The following is an 18,903-nucleotide window of genomic DNA, read 5'->3' as shown; positions in this document are numbered from 1 at the left end:
ATTACCTTTTTCTTATTTTTTTGATAACTTTACTATTCTTAACATTTGTATTATGCTATTGTTTGAGTCTTTATTTTTGATAATGAAGGCATTGAGTATACATATTTCTTTTAATACAAGTTTTTCTGTGGTTCTACAGGTATTAAAATGAAATATTATCATTTTTATTGTTTTCTAAATTGTTTCATTTTTTATCACAAAATTATCATCGAGTATTGTTCTTAATTTCTAAGCACTCCTTTTTTATGGTTACTTTTTAATTGTTTTTCCTTATTTCTTGGATTATAATCAGAGTTTAGTGACTATAAAATTTCTACTTTTCAGATATTTAAGATCCCACACCTAATCTAACAATCTGGTTGCATTTTTCTTAATGACCCACCTTTATAAAAGATTTCTGAAACATTCATCTTTATTTTTATAGTTGGGATAGGCAGGGGGAGATAGTGTTTTCCTTCTTTACACAAAATTTTATTCTTTTATGTATGATATGATTGAATGATGTAATTCCATTAACAAGTTCAGCTGGCATAAATAGGTTTGGAGCACACACAGCTGTTTTATGACTCGAGTGTTAGAAGCAAAAATGTATGTAGATACATTGGTATTTGGAACATTCGGAGTGCCAAGTTAACAGTCAATACATTTTATAGGAGGGGAATTTGTTAGGTAGAGGAAGATAACTTCCGCTATTTTGAAAGCTTCCAATATTTTACAAAATGTTGGATAACTACTAATACAGCCATCTGCTTTCCCTCAAAAACAATTGTTGTCCAGTCTTAAAATTCCCAAGAAACAATACCCAATTGGTAAAAAATGAAAAGATCATCTGTGCTAGATTTCTATCCTTTATTACTTTTCTATAAAACCAAAAAATTAGATGAATGGGAAACATTTTATGTCTAACTATTCTTTTAGCAACTTTAGAAAGCCAATTTGATGGACAGCAATGGCGAGTCAAAATGGTTGAAGGAGCCCTGGAGTAAGTTTGGAGTCTTTGTCCTTCTACAAATAAAATTCCTAATGCATTGTCTCTGCTTTCAAATTTGAAAACTGGGGTGATTGCCAATGTATATTCCCCACATGATGTTGACAACTCAATAAAAAATTTGATGCTAAAATACGATACGTGATAAATGTTTCCGAAACCATAAAACTTGATTCAAGTTCAAGATGGTATTTTAAGTACATGTTGGTTTTTAAATTATTCTTTTCATCACCTGGTAGACTGTACCTCCTTTTTCCTTATTTTATAGGCAAGCTAAGGTCATCTACAATCAATCCATTTGGGAAGAACTATTTGTAGAGCATCCAACAGAATCCACTATGGTTATGTTCTGTTCATCCCTTCCCCCACTACCTCTCTCAAATAATTGAGCAGGGGCAAGGAGGAGAGGTCCTGACACTGCTCCTCAGGATGCAGATCCCTCCTGTTGCCCTTAGAAACCTTAATGGGTTCCAAGTTTTCCCCTGAGACCTCATTTTAGAAATCCAGAGACACCCTTTTTAAGTCAGCCTTTTGCGGAATTAACACAAGGACTCCAGAGCCTGGGTAACAAGGACATGTGTATGAAAGCAATAAATCCCCTCTGCCTACACATCATCACCCACACTTCTACCCATCCTTGGCCCTGACTTAATTTGGATCAGGATAAAGTTTAAGTTTCCTTCTGAAAGCAGTGCAACATCTCATAGTTATGCTGTTAACTGGAATTGCAGGAGAAGTAGGAAGGATAATTCTGTTTCATTTTTCAAGGACTCTTTACATTATCAAAACTGGTTCGGGATTTACAACATTGTCATCTCTGTCCGTGTGTGACAGGTTTTTATTCTGCCCATATTTTTTTCCCTAAGGGATATAAATCATATGCCAAATGTTGAAAAGCTACATGAAGAAATTTAGTTTATTCTCTCAACGCTGATAAATATTCCCACAGTTGTGGATTCCATAATGCTCTGCTTTGACAACAATCTGGCCTTATGTGATGTTTATACAAGAAAATCTTTCCTTATTTTTTCTTCAGCCACATGAAAGTAAAATAAGAAATTAGATGATGAAACAATTTGGGCTTCAAACTAGACAATACATATTTGTAAGATTAAAACACCTATAAGAGTTCACCTATCATGATCAGTGGTTACAATGGAATATTAAACATGTAATTGCCAAACAGGAAATATGTATGTTTCCTATTTCTCAATGGCTAACCCACAGGAATAAAATGATCTTAAACGACCTAGAAATTACAGAATCCATTATGTTGGGACGTTAGCTTTTACAAACAACAAAAAGCAGGGTTTAGTATCTTACAAGTGCTAAAGATTTTTTAGATGCTGAATGCTTACATTGAAAACAATAATTTTACCAGAATCAGGAAAGGCTATAAAATATTAAAGCTGTATGCTAGGACAGAGATTTAAGTTTTTAATATATTACTCATCTATTTGATAATCATGCTTGAGGTTTAGTGTTTCATAGGGAGTGTTAATTTGTGTTTTAATTAATCCTAATTTGTCAAGATTTAAGTATATTTAATGACCCAGAAAATTTCCCTAGAAAATTTCCTAATGTCAGTTATCACAGCCGCCAAAGTCATCCATATGATTAATGTGCTATTTAGAGGAGTCATTTGCCACACTCAGACTTCCTAAATGTGCCTTATTCAGGCTGCCTTTGGGAATGCTACCCCCTGCAACTATACTAAGTGAAATAAATCAAAAACCATTCATTACAACATAGATAAACCTTCTCATACTATCTAGATGTGGGGTATCTATTAGAGAATACATTTTGATTCTTTTCAGAAAGCAAATACAGGAGTTTACAATCCTACGGAAGGAGCCTGGAGAGACTTGTTCTGGCGTTTAAAAAAAAAGGAACCAGCTCAATTGTTGACACTTATCCAAACAGAATCGAGAAAGTATAACCACCATAAGAGTGTTTTGGAACTTGGGCTTAGAAACAGCAAATATTGAATCTTGTACTTTTAATTTGAGGAAAGAGTAATAGTTTATTGTCAATACATTATGAATATTTAAATCTATTTGGCTATCTTTTATCAGCAGCCAGGTAAAATTTGATTAAGTAGATGAATATCTATCTTTTCTCCTTGAAAGGTGACAGAAGAGTGACATATAAAAATAGGAAAAATAACTTCATTTATTAGGATATTGCTCCCTTCTGACTCCACTGGCTGAAGCCTAGGACATATTTCTTTAATTATAATCTGTCACAGGCCTGAGCTAAACTTGTTTTCCATTTGTGCTCCAACACATAAAATAGATACTATAATTATTTTACTGGTATAAATGTATAAGTTTAAATTTAAAGAATTACTTATTAAAAGTTAATAAGACATGTCATTTTGATAAGCACATACATCAAATCAGAAGTTCAGGCTTATATTAACTTTGGCACACATTCATTTTTGCATTCATTACTCGGCACAAGAAAATTTGAATCCACATACTACTTAATTATGAATATTAACAATATTATAATTGTATGCCATTAAGTGCATGTCAGCACATATACATTTTAGAGAAGTTTTACATAAATTTGAATACTTCTGAATTAATGTCTGGTCATATTTGATAGATGTTTAGTATGAAATACTACTTTCATTTTTGCTCTCTCTTTGTTTTGTGTGATATCTTTTATGAGTTTTACTCTGATTTAATAATGTTATTATGTTTTGTTGTTGTTGGGTTATTTGTGTTTGAATGTCTTTAAATTTGGGGTCCTCAAATACTTAACTACAGGATTGATTTAACAATCACAGAAAGCATTTCATATTCACTTAAAAGAACAAATTCTCATTTGTAAGTCACGAAGTAACTTTGAAAGTCCCAAAGAGTTGTATTCATATAAATTCAAGTAAAGGGAAGTTAATACATGTGTAAAATATTCCAGTGACCTTATATCAAAATAAAGATAAAGGATCTGTAGCAGCCTTGAAAAAATTTTCTGGAACTTGAAATTTTTAAAATCTTTCCCCATACAAGCCAGTATTTGAGAAATGAAATTAGAGCTTTTTATTTACCTTAAATGAATTCTTACCTTGAGAATTTCTTTGAACAATCATTAGTATTATAAATGTACAATATAAATGTCCAAATTTGATGTGAAAGTAGAGTGTGGGAAATTCAGGTTATCCCTGTAATTTTTTGTTTTAATTTGGGCATTTAGAGAAAGGCTTTAAGTCCAGATATAATTTCAGACATGTTTAATTCATTGTTATGCTCCCATGCTTAGCATAGTGCCTAGCATATAGCAGTGTATTCAGCTGTTCTTGCATTGCTATAAAGAAGTACCTGAGACTGGGTAATTTATAAATAAAAGAAGTTTAATTGGCTTATGGTTCTGCAGGCTGTACAAGCATGGTGCTAGCATCTGCTCGGCTCCTGCAGAGGCCTCAGGAACTTACGGTCATGGCAGAAGGTGAAAAGGGAGCAGATATGTCACATGGCAGGAGCAGGAGCAAGAGAGAGAGTGGAAGGAGGTGTTACACACTTTTAAACAACCAGATTTCATGAGAGCTCACTTGCTATCATGAAGACAGCACCAAACCATGGGGAATCAACCCCCATGACCAAACACCTCACATCAGGCTTCGTCTCTGACATTATGGGTAATATTTCAACATGAGATGGATGGGACAAATATCCAAACCATATCTAGCATTCTTTTAGCAAATAATAAGTATTTGCTAAAAGAATGATAACTTCTGTTTCAAGCTGCAGACAGTGAAACTGATTCTGGGTGGTGTTTCTTGGTCTTTAAAATTAGATTGCCTCAATAAAACCATGGCTTCAAATACACAGTGGAAGGTGATATGTTCCTTCAAAACTTCAAGCATGGACAGTCAAGAAAGCTGTGTATAGTATAGTGGAAATAGATATAACAATCACCAAATCAGCATGCGTCCTGACATAGCAACTCTTTGTAGCCAGATCTGCCAGGACTGGTAAAATGCCAGTATCTGAGTCATAAATGAGGAGGTCCTATGTCAGAGAGTTTAACAAGGGAACCAACCCTGAAAACAAAGAAACAAAAAAGTGCAATGAACAGGAAGCCAAGAAGGCAATATAGCTGAGGCCAATGAAAAGGGGTGCCCTGGATAAATATCTTCTTAAGCCTACCTCTTATTTCAGACTTTTTTCAATGTACTTCTACCTCTATTCCACTATAGCTCCCACTCTTAACTCTCCCTTTTAAAGTTTCTTTACTTAGACAGAACCCAGATCCTAGAGCTGCTAACTTATTTGGGACATTAAAACTATAGAACTAATCAGACATTCAACAACTGGCTCTTAATTTTATCGAGTTTTACTTCAGTGATCTATGTGACTGACTTAAGAAAATTAAGAAAATCTGTTAAGGGCTAACATCATATGAGAAGTCCTTAACCTAGGCAAGTTCATGCCAACATTGTATCTTCTCCATGCAACAACAGCAGCTCCAACTTGATGTTATCCTTTCCAATGGGTGTCACTTCCAATAGAATGAATGTTGGGGGCAGAGGACAGTTAATAAGAAAAAACTTTCTGAAGCATCCTTAAAGTTCTGTGGGTGATTCTAAAACTGTTGGAATTCCGATAACATATCTGTACATTGATTTTAGTAACTGCCTAATTTCAAAAGGGATTTAGGGCTACTCACAGTGACAACCTAAGTGCAAATACTGCAGGACATATAACAAGCCAGAAACAGGAAACAAGAATTATAGCGAGATGCAAGGAAAAAGAATTCTTAAAGCGGTGATGCAATGATGCACAAAACATTTAAACTCTGCTGAGGCAATAGAACACAAAACTTAGTGGAGAATACCCTATCAGGCAGACCAAAGACAAAACATAATAGATTTTTGGCTTTCTATTCCTAACTAAAAAGATTATACTAATTTTTCAGAAACAATAAATTTGGACCAAAAGACAGAGGAAGTCCAAAGTATATTGTCTATTAAAAATCTTTTGTGAATCAAAGGGTTTACGCACATTCTTATTTAAATTGTGGCCACAACTCTGTGAAATACATGTTATTAATTTAGCTTTCCCAAAAAAAGAAACTGATTTTCAGAGAAGTTAAGTAATTTGACCAAAGTCAAACTAGTAAATGATGGAGCTAGAACTCTGGATCAAGCCTGTCTGATTCCATAGCTCATATAACACATTCAGGGAAATGGAGAATCTCATCTCTATCTCTTTTCTCTCTTCCAACTCAAAGCATGTGTGAATACACATGTATGTGTATGTGCATGCACACACACAGACATGCACACACACACACACGCAATTTTTTTCTATACCAAGTTTTACTTAAGGATACTTAAGGGAAAATGCCAGAAATGCAGCTACAGGCTCAGTAGCTCAGTATTCTTATGCTAACTACTATAATCATAGCAATATCTTCTTCATGTGAAATCTAAAATGCCTTTATGTACCTTATTACAGGTGAATCTTAAAAGACAGATGAATTCATTTGTTTTGTTACTTGGTGTAATGCTTTATACATCTTTATCTGCATGGGGCTACTTAGAATTATTCAGAGACCACAGCAGTGGGCTTCAGGGAGGAGAGGTAATTCATATGCAGAGGCCTGTGTAAACTAGGGTATTTTTATTCTATACAACCTCCAAACTGGAGTTGAACTAAATTTGGCCACAACACTCTAAAATGCTGGCCCCCAAGCAAAGTGGCCAGCATTTTAGAATGCTGTGTCCAAATTTAGTTCAACTCCAGTTTGGCATCACTTGCCAAAGAGTCCAATGAAGTGGTTTAAATGGTAGAAGGGATCAATGACCCAGATAATTGCTTCCATGTGAAAAGCTGAGTTGATATAAGATTCCAACAAAGAGTAGAAAGGGCCTCCAGGACCTGGAGGCAGAAACAGGCACAGACTAGGCAAGTTATCATGTAGGAGAGGTCTTCCATCAAGCAGGGAACCTGGAAGGAGTCCAGTCATGTAGACCAAGCCCAACAGTTACAGTTAAGGGGAGAGATTACAGATGAGTGCCCAGAAACTCTTATCAAAGGGAGGCATATTTTGTTTGGACCTGAGCAAGGAAATACAGACTCTTCAGGATGAAAACCTGAGTTCCTGTAGCAGCACCGAGCTGGATGAGCTGTGTCTAACAATTGGCACACTATTTATGAGTAGTTTATTGAAATTATGGCTAAATTCAATATTGCAAAGATTCTCATTCTACGGTAGAGAAACACAGATTGGTGAAGTGACTTGTACAAGAGTCAACCTGTGGCAAATCCATGACCAGAATTCAGTTCTATCAATTTTTATCTAAAATGCTCCCTATTCATTTCTGTGAGTGATTCCATACAGTGAAGAAAACAAGAGCAGAAAATCATGACTATTATGCTTCAGGTATCCTATTGGTCCTCTTTATAATATATCAGTCTGACCACTTGCATTACACAGTGATCCTATACACAGTAGGATCCTTGTGCTTACTTGAATATTTAAAAATAGTAATAATTGTATGTTTTTTTCTCATATGATTTAATTTGAAGTTCCTCTGTGAGCCAAATACATTGAAATTGCCTTACAAACAATTCATGGTTACTTTTAGCTATATTGGATGGCATAACAAGGTTGATCCAAAAAGATAGGAAATGCCCAAATTGCATCATTGCACTGTAAATTGCACTATATAATGCCCCATTCCTCCACCTCAAAGTGTATTTAAATGAGTCTGCTTGTACTGGTAGGAGAATGTCAACATAAAAATTAAAATCTACATACGCCACCCAAAATAGCAAGACACAGAGAAGCAAGAGTTGAATGCCTTTGAATCATTGTATATTGAGAATTGTATGAAAATAGCAAATAATTTTATTCAGTTCAGATTGAGTAGCAGTTGTCACAAGCTATTGTTTAATCTGTTCAACAAGTTTTAAATTAGCCCTGAATAGGTTGTCAAAACAGTAGCACTTTAGAAGCTTATGTATGCACTGCAAATTCTGGTGCAATTTCCATTTCTGAATATCGGACTACACTTTTAAAGTGTCTTTGCTGTTCTCCTCGCCTTTCTCTATTTTCAGTGCTTATCAAAATATTTAGTATTAATAATGTGCATATGAAACATAAATATTCCAAATACTGTAAACTAATAGCACACTCTGTTACATGACATTTACCAATACCATGACTATTTCAGGGTCAACATTTTTACTAATTATAACTTAGATGTATACCAGAAATGGCAACCTAAATTGACTTGAGATTCTTTCAAAAGGTTGATTGTCTTTCTAGTTGTACCACCTTTCATTAGTTACGTCTTATTAATTGTCACATTGCATTATATCTGTGCACAGTATGCCACATAACATAATGCAGGGAAAGAGAAGCAGTGTGAAAAGTTGTAGGCATTATATTTTAATGAGACAGCATTTGTATTGAGTCTGAATGCCTGCAGTTAATTCAGAGAACAAGTATTTGAGTTAAAAATTTTGACATGTTTAGCAAATCAAGTATTCATTAAGGTAGGCGAGGTAGAAGAGTAGTAGGAACTCCTGCGTGGCAATGACTACACCTGCAGTTCTGTGAGCAAGAAATTGACTGTATTTCAGGCAGAGATACCCAGAACACTGGTAGTATGAAACTCTTTCTTTTTTTCCTCAGGTCCTAAAGGGTTTCCCAGAATGCTTACAAGCAGACATTTGTCTACATCTCAACCAGACATTGCTGCAAAACTGCAAAGCCTTTCGGGGGGCAAGTAAAGGTTGCCTTAGAGCTTTGGCAATGAAGTTCAAAACCACCCATGCACCTCCAGGAGACACCCTCGTTCACTGTGGGGATGTCCTCACTGCACTTTATTTCTTATCCAGAGGCTCCATTGAAATTCTCAAAGATGACATTGTGGTGGCTATTCTGGGTGAGTGTTTTAGAAGTGCATGGTGACAGATTCAGTTATTAGCTTGTAATGCATAGTTTAAAATGATTAGGAAAAAAAGACTGATGTATGTATTCATAAGAACAGTTTAAGATGGTGGGTAATTTGAAAGCTGCATTTAAAATTCAGTTCAAACCAAATTAACCTTTCAGAAAATATGTTTTCTTAACTGTCTCACTTTTTCTCCGAAGTGTAAATGCTTCGATGATTCTCTTCAGTTCTTGGCAGCTACCTAGACATTTGAGGCCAAATATAGGAAAATAGTAAGCATATTCTTTTTTTATGTTAGAAGATCTTAGCTTCATGCTTGATCCCTCAACACCTTAAAATAAAATATATGTGTTGTAGGAAATACTTGCTAGCATGTGCCAAAGCCCTGTCATGAACTGGGTTTATGTTTTGATGAATTTCATTTATTCATTGTGCATTTTTACCTGCCGCGTCGGATTAAATGGAATCATACAGTCCTTAACTAGGTAATTAATATAGACCTATAAACTTAACAACCAGTGATAGAAGTGATGAAGAGATTAAATTAGTCATAACTTCAACTGGTTTGGGTGCAAAAGAAAACACATGTTTAATCTGCCTCTTTAAAAATAAATTTAGGCCATGTACACACACTGGGGCCTGTCGTGAGGTGTGGAGAGAGGGGAGGGATAGCATTAGGAGATATACCTAATGTAAATGATGAGTTAATGGGTGCAGCACACCAACATGGCACACGTATACATATGTAACAAACCTGCACGTTGTGCACATGTACCCTAGAACTTAAAGTATAATAAAAAAATTTTAAAAACTTAAAAAAATAAAAATAATAAATAATAAAAATAAAAATAAATTTAGGCCATGTGAACTTGTAGTACTTCTTTAGAATATTAGGACACTGGGGAAGAGCAAGGAAACAGAGAAAAATGCAGTCAATTCTTCTTTTCTCCTACCACATAGCCGGTAGGTTTAAGCCTCACTCTCCCTATGATAACGCCTATCCTTAGTTTCTGTAAAAATTTGCATTTTTCTCCTGTGGATTATCCAGCTCCACTTAAATAATGGGCATGTAATTCAATGATTTTCTCTCACTTAGCTTTTGATGTTCACATATGATGGTTCTCTCCAACAGGACAGGGATGTTGTCTGTTTTCCCTGCTGCTGTGTAGAACCAGAGTATGGCATGGCACAGACTCAAATACATGAATAAAGATGCTCACATGATTTTCTTATATATTTTGATAATTTTATTATATTAGTTTTTTTTTACATTTCCCAAATTTGGTTTTCTAACCAATAAGCTGACAAAGAATAAACACATATTCTAAATCATTTTAAGGCCACACAATCAAGTTAGGTTTTCACTAAATTTGGCATAGACAGTTTGCCCTGCTATGTTGCCAGGGAAGGAGGATGCTTCATTGCATTTCTGATCTTCAAGTCAGCCAGTCCTAGCTTCTACAAGAAGGTAATAAGCTTTCTTGCTTTATCAAGTAGTAATTTTAGAGTGTTGCTAAGACATATCCATGGACTGGCTTGCTCCTGGCTCATTTACAGTCATGTTGGTAATTGAAATACAAAGCCCATGCTTAATTTAATTCAGGTCTTTTTTAAAAACAATAATATCTATACTGAGCTACCAAAACTATAAAGAATGTCAGGAAATTACCCTTTTCTGTCCCTACTTCCATATAAGTCAGCCCCTAAAATCCTTACAAATTATGATCATTTATCCTATTTTTGGAAGGCTGATACATATTTATTTAAACTGTGGTTAATGTATCCTTTCTAATGTCGATTTTTCTTACGTAGTTAAGATACAGTGTTTGATTTCTCACTATTGAATTCCTTTGTAAAACAAGAATATTATAGCATTTTTGACTAATTAGAACCTTATTACTTAAAAGTCTTTGATAGCTTCTACAGTGAGGTGTACAAGAACTTGTCTACCAAAATCTAAAATAATATACCCAAGGAGTTTTTTCTAAAAATGAAAAGAAGCTTCAGGATAGACACAGGAGAGTACTATTTTACATTGCCATTGATTATCTTTAGAAGTTACATAATCAAGTAATATATCAGTATGTATTAAGTATATATACCACAAGTACAGTTTTTAAGTACTTTGATAGTCAGAAACAGAAAAATCTAAGTGGCCATGACATTCAGGGAAATCACTGGAAAGAGATTAGATACTTAGATACACAGTATCAGGTGTGCAAGAACTTTGACTCTGGATGCATCTGGAATCAGGATGCATGGGATTTAGTTCTGGCTGTTCTCTCCCTCCCTCCACTTCATTCAACTAAGAAGGTGATGTTAGGCTAATCAGTTTATCTCTTTAATGCTCTTTCTGTATTCATAAAATGTGGATAATTATTAGTAATTCCTTCATGAAGTTATTTTAGGAACAAATTGAGGCAATGCACCTAAGCATTTGACACAGTGCCTGGCACCTACTAGTCCTCAATAAATATTTGTTATTGTTGCTGTAGTTCTTATCTTTGTCATGGAATAAGACCTTGAAAAGCAGGTAGTATGTGGCTACACAGAGGTGATGGGGAAGTCCTGTTAGAAGCGAGACACTGAAATAACCCTAGATTTTACAGAAGAGCAAGAAGGACAAATTTCCCTAACAAAGGCCATATAACAAAAAGCAGGACTACATATGTTGAGAATTATAACTAGATTTATTAAGCAATTGGGCATATTTTTTAAGGGCAGATTCAAAAGTGGTTATTAGGAAACAAGGTGTGTTCCAATTGTTCCTCCAATCCACTAAGTGTTAAAACAGCTCCACCACAACCCCTTGCTGAGCACCACCTGCAGAGACCATCCCGAGACAGAAAGATCATGAATCTGACTCACTGCAGCCTTTCTCATATTCCTGAATTGAAAAAATCAGAGTACACCTACCTGAAAGTATATTTAAAATACTCTATGGTACGACCCTTTGCTAGCAAAGTGGGGTATACAGGACTGAAGATAATGTTCGCTACATTCTAGATGCTTAGTCAAGTAACCAAAGCAAGGAAATAAAAGGACCAATCACCCTTAGAGACAAATTTCCACTCACCAAACATGGTATGGGCATTTAGTTAAGGTGCTGGAACATTGCTCACCAAGTCTGGTTCAGGGATTGATCAATTGTTTAATGACCCCCTTCTACTTTTAGAAGGAGAACATTGAGTTTGGATTCCCTTTCCCCGCCTCTTTTTCTTTATATTTTCTTAGGAAAAAATGATATATTTGGAGAAATGGTTCATCTTTATGCCAAACCTGGAAAGTCTAATGCAGATGTAAGAGCCCTCACATACTGTGACTTGCATAAGATTCAGCGAGAAGACTTGTTAGAGGTTTTGGATATGTATCCTGAGTTTTCTGATCACTTTCTAACAAACCTAGAGTTGACTTTCAACCTAAGGCATGAGAGCGCAAAGGTATATGTTAACTGTTTGCTTATGTCTGTATTTCTGACATTTTATTTTATTCTTGAATTGCACAAATACTTCTGAAAAATCAAGCAAAATATTGCAGCAAGACTTTACCAATTCTGAATATTTGGAAGGAAAGGCCAACTGAATATTAAAATTTCTGAATTATAGGAAAGAAATTTAGCCTAATTGCTTTCCAATACGTTGAATAATTTCAAGTAGTTCAATTAGGTTTGACCTTGTAGAAGCCCTTAGGTGCCACACTTGAGTTAAAATAGCCTTTGTTTATAGTGTGCCAATTATTTGCTAGAAATGGGTGATTTTAGGCTGTTGAAAATTACTTGAGTTTATCTTATACAGAGGTTAGAATATTCTCTCAGCTATTATTTACACTGTACATTGGTTATCAGTGTCTTCACAATAATAATGAAAAAATTAACCTCATTCAAGTTTAGTTTCCTATTTAATACAATTTCCAAATCACAGAAGTACAAATTAGTCAGGTTTTACAGTATTGTCAGTTTTAATGGTGCAGAATGAATATGTAGTCTAACAGAAATAATAGTTTAAATAATTATATATGTAAGTTAACCCAGAATGAACTTCGAGTGTAGCTCTTATGTTCCTTACTCTTTTCTACTGTGAAAATGTGCCCTTATGAGCTATTACTGTTCTATGGCTATAAAACTTACGTTGTAACCAAAAATTTATTACTAGGTTATTCCTCTTCCATCCCTTTTCCCCCAAAATTTCACAACTCCACTCTAATTCTAAATGCTTTTTTAAATCAGAAATCAAATATTGAGTGATTGATACTTGCCAGTGTATTTAAATGCTAAGTAATATATTCTCTGGGGAAAAAAACCCTAAAGTCAATAGTTAGGTAAGAGGGGGTAGATTTAACACTTGCTGTAGTTATAGACATTCCCAAGTACCATGAGAGGCTTAAAAGAGAAAGAGGAATTTTAAGGGCCCCTAGATGCCATTTAATACCCTGATACACCAGTTCAGATAATTATTTCTTTTTAAAACTCTGAAAAGTTTTTTTTAATTGAAGTGGAAAAAGATTCTAGTTATTAAGAACATATGTTTTTGTAATGGTTTTAATTCAGTAATTTGTCCCAATCTTAGTTTTATGTCACCACCCTCATTCTGACTTTGCCTTGAAAAGTAACAAATATCTACCTCTCATAACTTCTTTATATAAAAGTTTAGTCAGTACTCAAATAAACAAGAGCTTCCATTTTTATTTACAAGGTAGACAATATTAGACAGAGTGAACCAGAGAGGGAAGAAGGAGGATCTGGGAGCAAAATAATAAAGGGTTCAAAGTGTAATGTTTATGGAATTTAACCTTATATTTATTGTTGTGAAATTTAACCTTACGATAATTACCATGTCATTTAAACACCATAGCTAATTTTAACTATTTTACACATTTTTCTTTGCAGTACTATTAGTTATGCAAAGTTCTTTAAATTACTACAATTGACTTTTGAACAACATGGGAATTCAGAACACCAATCCTTGTATAGTTGAAAATCTGCAAATAACTTTTGACTCCACAAAAACTAAATTACTGATAGCCTACTATTTATTAGAAGCCTTACCAATAATGTAATCAGTCAATGAACACATATTTTGTATATTTTTATAAAATGTATTCTTACAATAAAGTAAGCTATAGAAAAGAAAATATTATTAAAAAATCATAAGGATGAGGATATATATTTACCATTAATTAAGTGGGAGTAGATTATCATAAAGATCATCATCTCATCATCTTCATATTTAATAGGCTATGGAGGAGGAGGAAGAGGAATGGTTGGTCTTGCTGTCTGAGGAGTAACAGAGGAAAAAGAAAATTCATGTATAAGTGAACCTGCACAGTTAAAGCCTGTATTGTTCAAGGGTCAACTGTATTATTCTTATTTTAACTTTATCAAGTTGCATAAAACACATTCCACATAAAGAAATATTTTATCTTTAAATGTTGACATCATCCCTAAACATTTCACATAAATAACTCCTACACTATGATTTCCCCAGCAAATGGTGAAAGTACTAAAAATTATTCTATCTGTGTATGTTACAATAAAGAGACAAGTATTAAGCAAGGTATTTTAGCTGTTTGCCTGCAATCTAATAATTAAGTCTCAAGATGGTTGAAACAATATGAAATAGTAAACAGTTTACTGAATAGTACATTGTGTTCTAATTCAGTAATCTTTCATTTTATCTTCATGTTCCATTAACAAAGGCTGATCTCCTACGATCACAATCCATGAATGATTCAGAAGGAGACAACTGTAAACTAAGAAGAAGGAAATTGTCATTTGAAAGTGAAGGAGAGAAAGGTAATTCATTCCATTCCTAAAGTTTAAATGTAGAGCATGTGGTAATTAGCCTTCTTACTTAAATGTTCATTTTACTTCTGACTTCAAGAGTATATTTTACTCAGGCTTTAGGAGGGCAGATCCTTTGCTTTATTCAGTAGCTAATGATCTGGTTTCCAGTTTCTGATTGATAGCTCTCAATGATATCATTCAACAAACCCATCTAATATTCACAAGGACATCGCAGATTAAGAAATAGAGTGGATTGATTTTTAAAAGACGTTCAGGTCAATTCGTTCGGAGCACAGTTTTCTGGAAAGAGGGCTGTCATTTCAAGCCAAGAGGTCAATCCTCTTACATGCCCCACAAGCATGCATGACATGGATGAAGGCCACATTTGTTAGTCCTTCTCATCCTCAGATTCTGTGGCACTTGTCACTTCTTGTTTTCTCCAGGTTTTTCTGCCTCTCTGACTATTCTTTATGCTTTGCTTATATAGTCAACAAATATTCATTTAACATTTCACATTTTCGAGCAGCTACTCAATATTCTGAGAAATAAGCTGTGCTTCAATATCCCTCATCTTCCCTAGAGAGGGAGATAGACACGCCCTCAAATAGTAGGCTCTGTAACAGGAATAGGTATTCCTCAGTGGGAGCCCAAGTGAGTGTACATTTAATTGTTCTTGGCAGATGGGAAAAAGTTTTCCTGAAGAAGCTTTGACTCTTGCCTCATGCTGATCCAACAAACATTCTAGTCTTTACCTTATTTGGCCCCATAGCTGCATCTTTCACTATGAACAAGGTCCCCTCTTTTTCTTGAATACTCTTTTCTTTGCGTCTGTAATACTTCAATCTTCCTATTTTCCTCCTACCTTCATGAACTCCCTGAAGATAATTTCAAGATTATTATATTCTATACCAGTGTCAATTTGTTAAGAGTTTTGAGGCATAGTCCTAGGCTCCTTTTTCTTCTTGTTCTATATCATACTCTTTCTCTGGGTGATCCCATTTATGCCCATCATTTAAGTATATCCTCACATAGGAGATGTTCATGATTACATGTTAATCCCAGACCACCTGAGCTTCAGTCCCACATATCCAACTGCCTATAAAATCATCTACCTGAAATCTCAAAGGCAGCTCGAACTCAACATTTCCTAAATTGAACTCATGGTGCACCCTGGAAACCTGTCTCCTCTTCAATTCCCATGCCTCTGCAGATGGTGACTCTATTCATCAATTGTACAAGCCAGATATCTTGGAGCCAACCTTCTCACAACCTCTCCATCAACTCTGGCAACAACTCCTATTATTGCTACCTCCAATAAATCTCCATTTAGTCTTCAAATTAGGTCTCCTTTTGGTTAACTTCTCTCCATCTACTTAGCCACAGCTCTGGGCCAAGCTACCATAATCTGCCACCTGGAATATTGAAACAGCCTTCCAACTTGCCTTCCCACATGCAACTTGCCCCTCTCTCATCTATTCCACACTGGACTTCTGTTGATTTTTTTTTTCTAAATGCAGCTATGTTTATGTCACCTACATGTTCAAAGCCCTCTAAGGACATCCTGTGCCCTAAATCCTTATTAGGGTGGGTCTTAACTTACCTCTTCAGTCTTATTTCATAATATCCTTCCCTTAACTACTCCCATCACTCCATCTTCCCCCATCAGTTCATCTCTTCAGCAACATTTACTCCAGTTGTACTTCTGGGTTTATTTGCATCATTATTTAATCAATGTTGTCTGCCTCTAGATCATAAGTTCCGTGAAAGTGGAAAATATTTGGCCCCCTGTAGTTTTAGTGCTTGCTGCACAGCAGATGCTCAACAAGTATCTGTGGAAAGAGTAACTGAAATAGAATTTGAGCATCTTCCTTTTTATTCTTTTCCCTTTTCTTGCCTTCTTATGCCAAGTTCTTTTTTTCACTCTCTTTTCTCCTCAATGAATACTCTTTCTAGAAGAGATCATCTACTAGCTTTATCTTGCTCCACATTTCAATTGAAACAAACTGCCCACTCCTCCATGTACATTGTTTCTGTGGTTTTCCTTATAATATTCCCTTAATTAATTTGCTTCCTTGTCCTCAAAAACACACACATACACACACATGCGCACACACACACACACACGAATTCATACCACACCAGTTTCATCCACTAAAATTACTTTTTTTATCAAAGTCAATCTCAAATGATATATTTAATGTGAATTGTTTCTTGAGCTCCTCAAATGTAAAGCTTCTCTTTCTCTTATGAATTCTCAAAGCACTTACTTCTTATAATATTGTCAAAATATGATGGCTACTGGTGTATTTTTTTCCTTTGCCTTTGCCAAACTGTAGATAACTTTAGCAAAGAATGGTTGATAAATATTTCTTGAATTGGACTAATTATTGATTCCTCTGGCTGACTGTAGAACAATAGACTACTCATAGATAGTTGATAATTTTGTTCTGCAATGTCTTTAATTATTTTCTTGGTGACTTTTTCTAAAATCAGAACCACTACTATTAAGCTGTTCTTCCACAGAGTTAATCTAAATCCCTTATCCTGAAGTTCATCTCTTATGTTTGTCTTACTGGAAATGAACAACAGGTTAACAATGTTGTCAATATAATAATGTCTTCCACATAGTTGAAGATTTATTAAATCTCCTTTCAATCTTGTTCAGTTTCCTCATTCTTAAGCTAAATTATCTAATGTTTTTATCGCCTGATAAGGCCCTGAGAGCAATGTCACAATTTGTACTGTGCTCATGTAACTAGACATTTCTGTTGATTTTGAATACTATGCCTTTAATCACAGGCTTGGTATATGAGATCAAATTCGTATAAAGTGTAGATGCTAAGGGATTTTCTGCCTGCAGCTCTTTGAAGTTTCCTGGTTGTGCCAGTAAGTAACCATGAGTTGGTCAATGTGAAAACACAATTAACTCCAGTTAACCAGAGCCCAAGAGCCTATTCCAAAGTCTTTAGGAAGCCAGGGTGCTGTGGGCAATTGTAAAATTTGCTGAAAGCAATTTAGTCCCTGTCATCCAAATCTAATTCTCTTAAGGTGAGCATTCATCATATACTTCTTGATGTAGCGTCAATATATAGGAGAAAAATACACATAATATAAAGAACAGAGAACTTTCAGGGGATCATTCATGCTAAACGATTTGTGGATACAGAAACTGAAATCTTCCCTTGAAATGCATTCATTTTTGTAGTGTTAGTTCATTGCTCATATGAAAGGAAACCTTGAAGGCAGGCATTCAAGAGTGCTGTTGCCTGTAAATCAGCAGTGGCATCAAGAACCAGAGAGAAGACTGTGTTTCTGGGCACTAGCAGCAGACAGAGGTTGAGTCCTGGATTGCCACTCCCTACCCACTGAGTGGAACAATGCAAATTTGCCGGCTTTGATCCACACCTGCCGCCTGCCACTCCGCTTCCAATTATGCCTCCCACAAGGTTCTAAAGAGCTCACATTGAATAAGATATAATTTTTCAATGAAATATGTACAGCCTCTGGAAAGCTGAAAAACAAAATATATACTTATATTGAATATATAATGAATTTGTTGATGACGGTGGCTTGTTCTCATGAGCTATACATTTTTTTTCTAAGGAAAAATCCCACTTCCCTACAGGAGAGACTTGTAAGTGCAGGTAGAAATTTGAGAGCACCTTGTATTTTTAAAGGTATCTTCAAGTAGTTATCTTTTCTTCCTAAAATTCTGGCATGGAGGTGCCCAGGACCTCCCCAATATGACAATGTTTATTGTAGGAAGAATTGCTACAGCTCCTGAGATGGAAGTAAAATATTATTACAGAAAGTGAAGAATAAAAATGAGGCTTCAATGACCTGCTCAGTGGCCATGAGCATTGTTAAGATGGCTGGGCAGAAGAGAAGTAAATGAGAAAAATGCTGAAAAATCGTCTCTATTTACTTGGTCTTAAAAGTTGAACTGTGCCTACTCCAGTGTGAGCCAGATCCATTAGGTCATAGAAGTAATAATTCTTCTAAAATTTTATGTTGTGTTCACTGTATAATATACAGGGTATATTTGTAAAATAGCATGTATAATGGCACAGGATATATACATATACATATGTATATACATAATTTATATATTATAAAATATATAAATATGTGTGTGTGTGTGTGTATATATATATAATGCGATTATACACTACACACATACATTTATGTATGTTTACTTACAGGGCTTATAAGACCAAATAT

General features: G+C 35.0%; 1 protein-coding gene across 5 annotated transcripts in view, besides 1 other annotated feature; it reads left to right on the top strand.

Moving 5' to 3' along the window:
* KCNH7 (potassium voltage-gated channel subfamily H member 7) overlaps positions 1-18,903 on the top strand; it is a 467,361-nt gene that overhangs the window by 429,688 nt on the left and 18,770 nt on the right. For 3 of the 5 annotated variants that reach the window (XM_017005220.3, NM_033272.4, XM_011512109.4), the window contains 3 exons: positions 8,639-8,891; positions 12,135-12,340; positions 14,595-14,691. In XM_017005220.3, the coding sequence (XP_016860709.1) occupies positions 8,639-8,891; positions 12,135-12,340; positions 14,595-14,691 (556 nt within the window). The remainder of the gene's footprint in view (positions 1-8,638; positions 8,892-12,134; positions 12,341-14,594; positions 14,692-18,903) is intronic. The other 2 variants (XM_017005219.3, XM_017005218.3) reach the window with 1 other exon arrangement.
* Positions 11,582-11,751: an enhancer, noted in NCBI's record as "experimental_55234 CRE fragment used in MPRA reporter constructs". NCBI's record gives its function as "activates a minimal promoter by MPRAs in K562 erythroleukemia cells, with activity observed for both the introgressed and non-introgressed 2:163253924 variant alleles {active_cell/tissue: K562}" and the evidence as "EXISTENCE:reporter gene assay evidence [ECO:0000049][PMID:34662402]".

This window comes from Homo sapiens, chromosome 2, assembly GCF_000001405.40.
Source record: "Homo sapiens chromosome 2, GRCh38.p14 Primary Assembly".
Lineage (NCBI taxonomy): Eukaryota > Metazoa > Chordata > Mammalia > Primates > Hominidae > Homo > Homo sapiens.
Note: the sequence above shows the minus strand (reverse complement) of the source record. Positions and strands in the feature narration are given on the sequence as shown.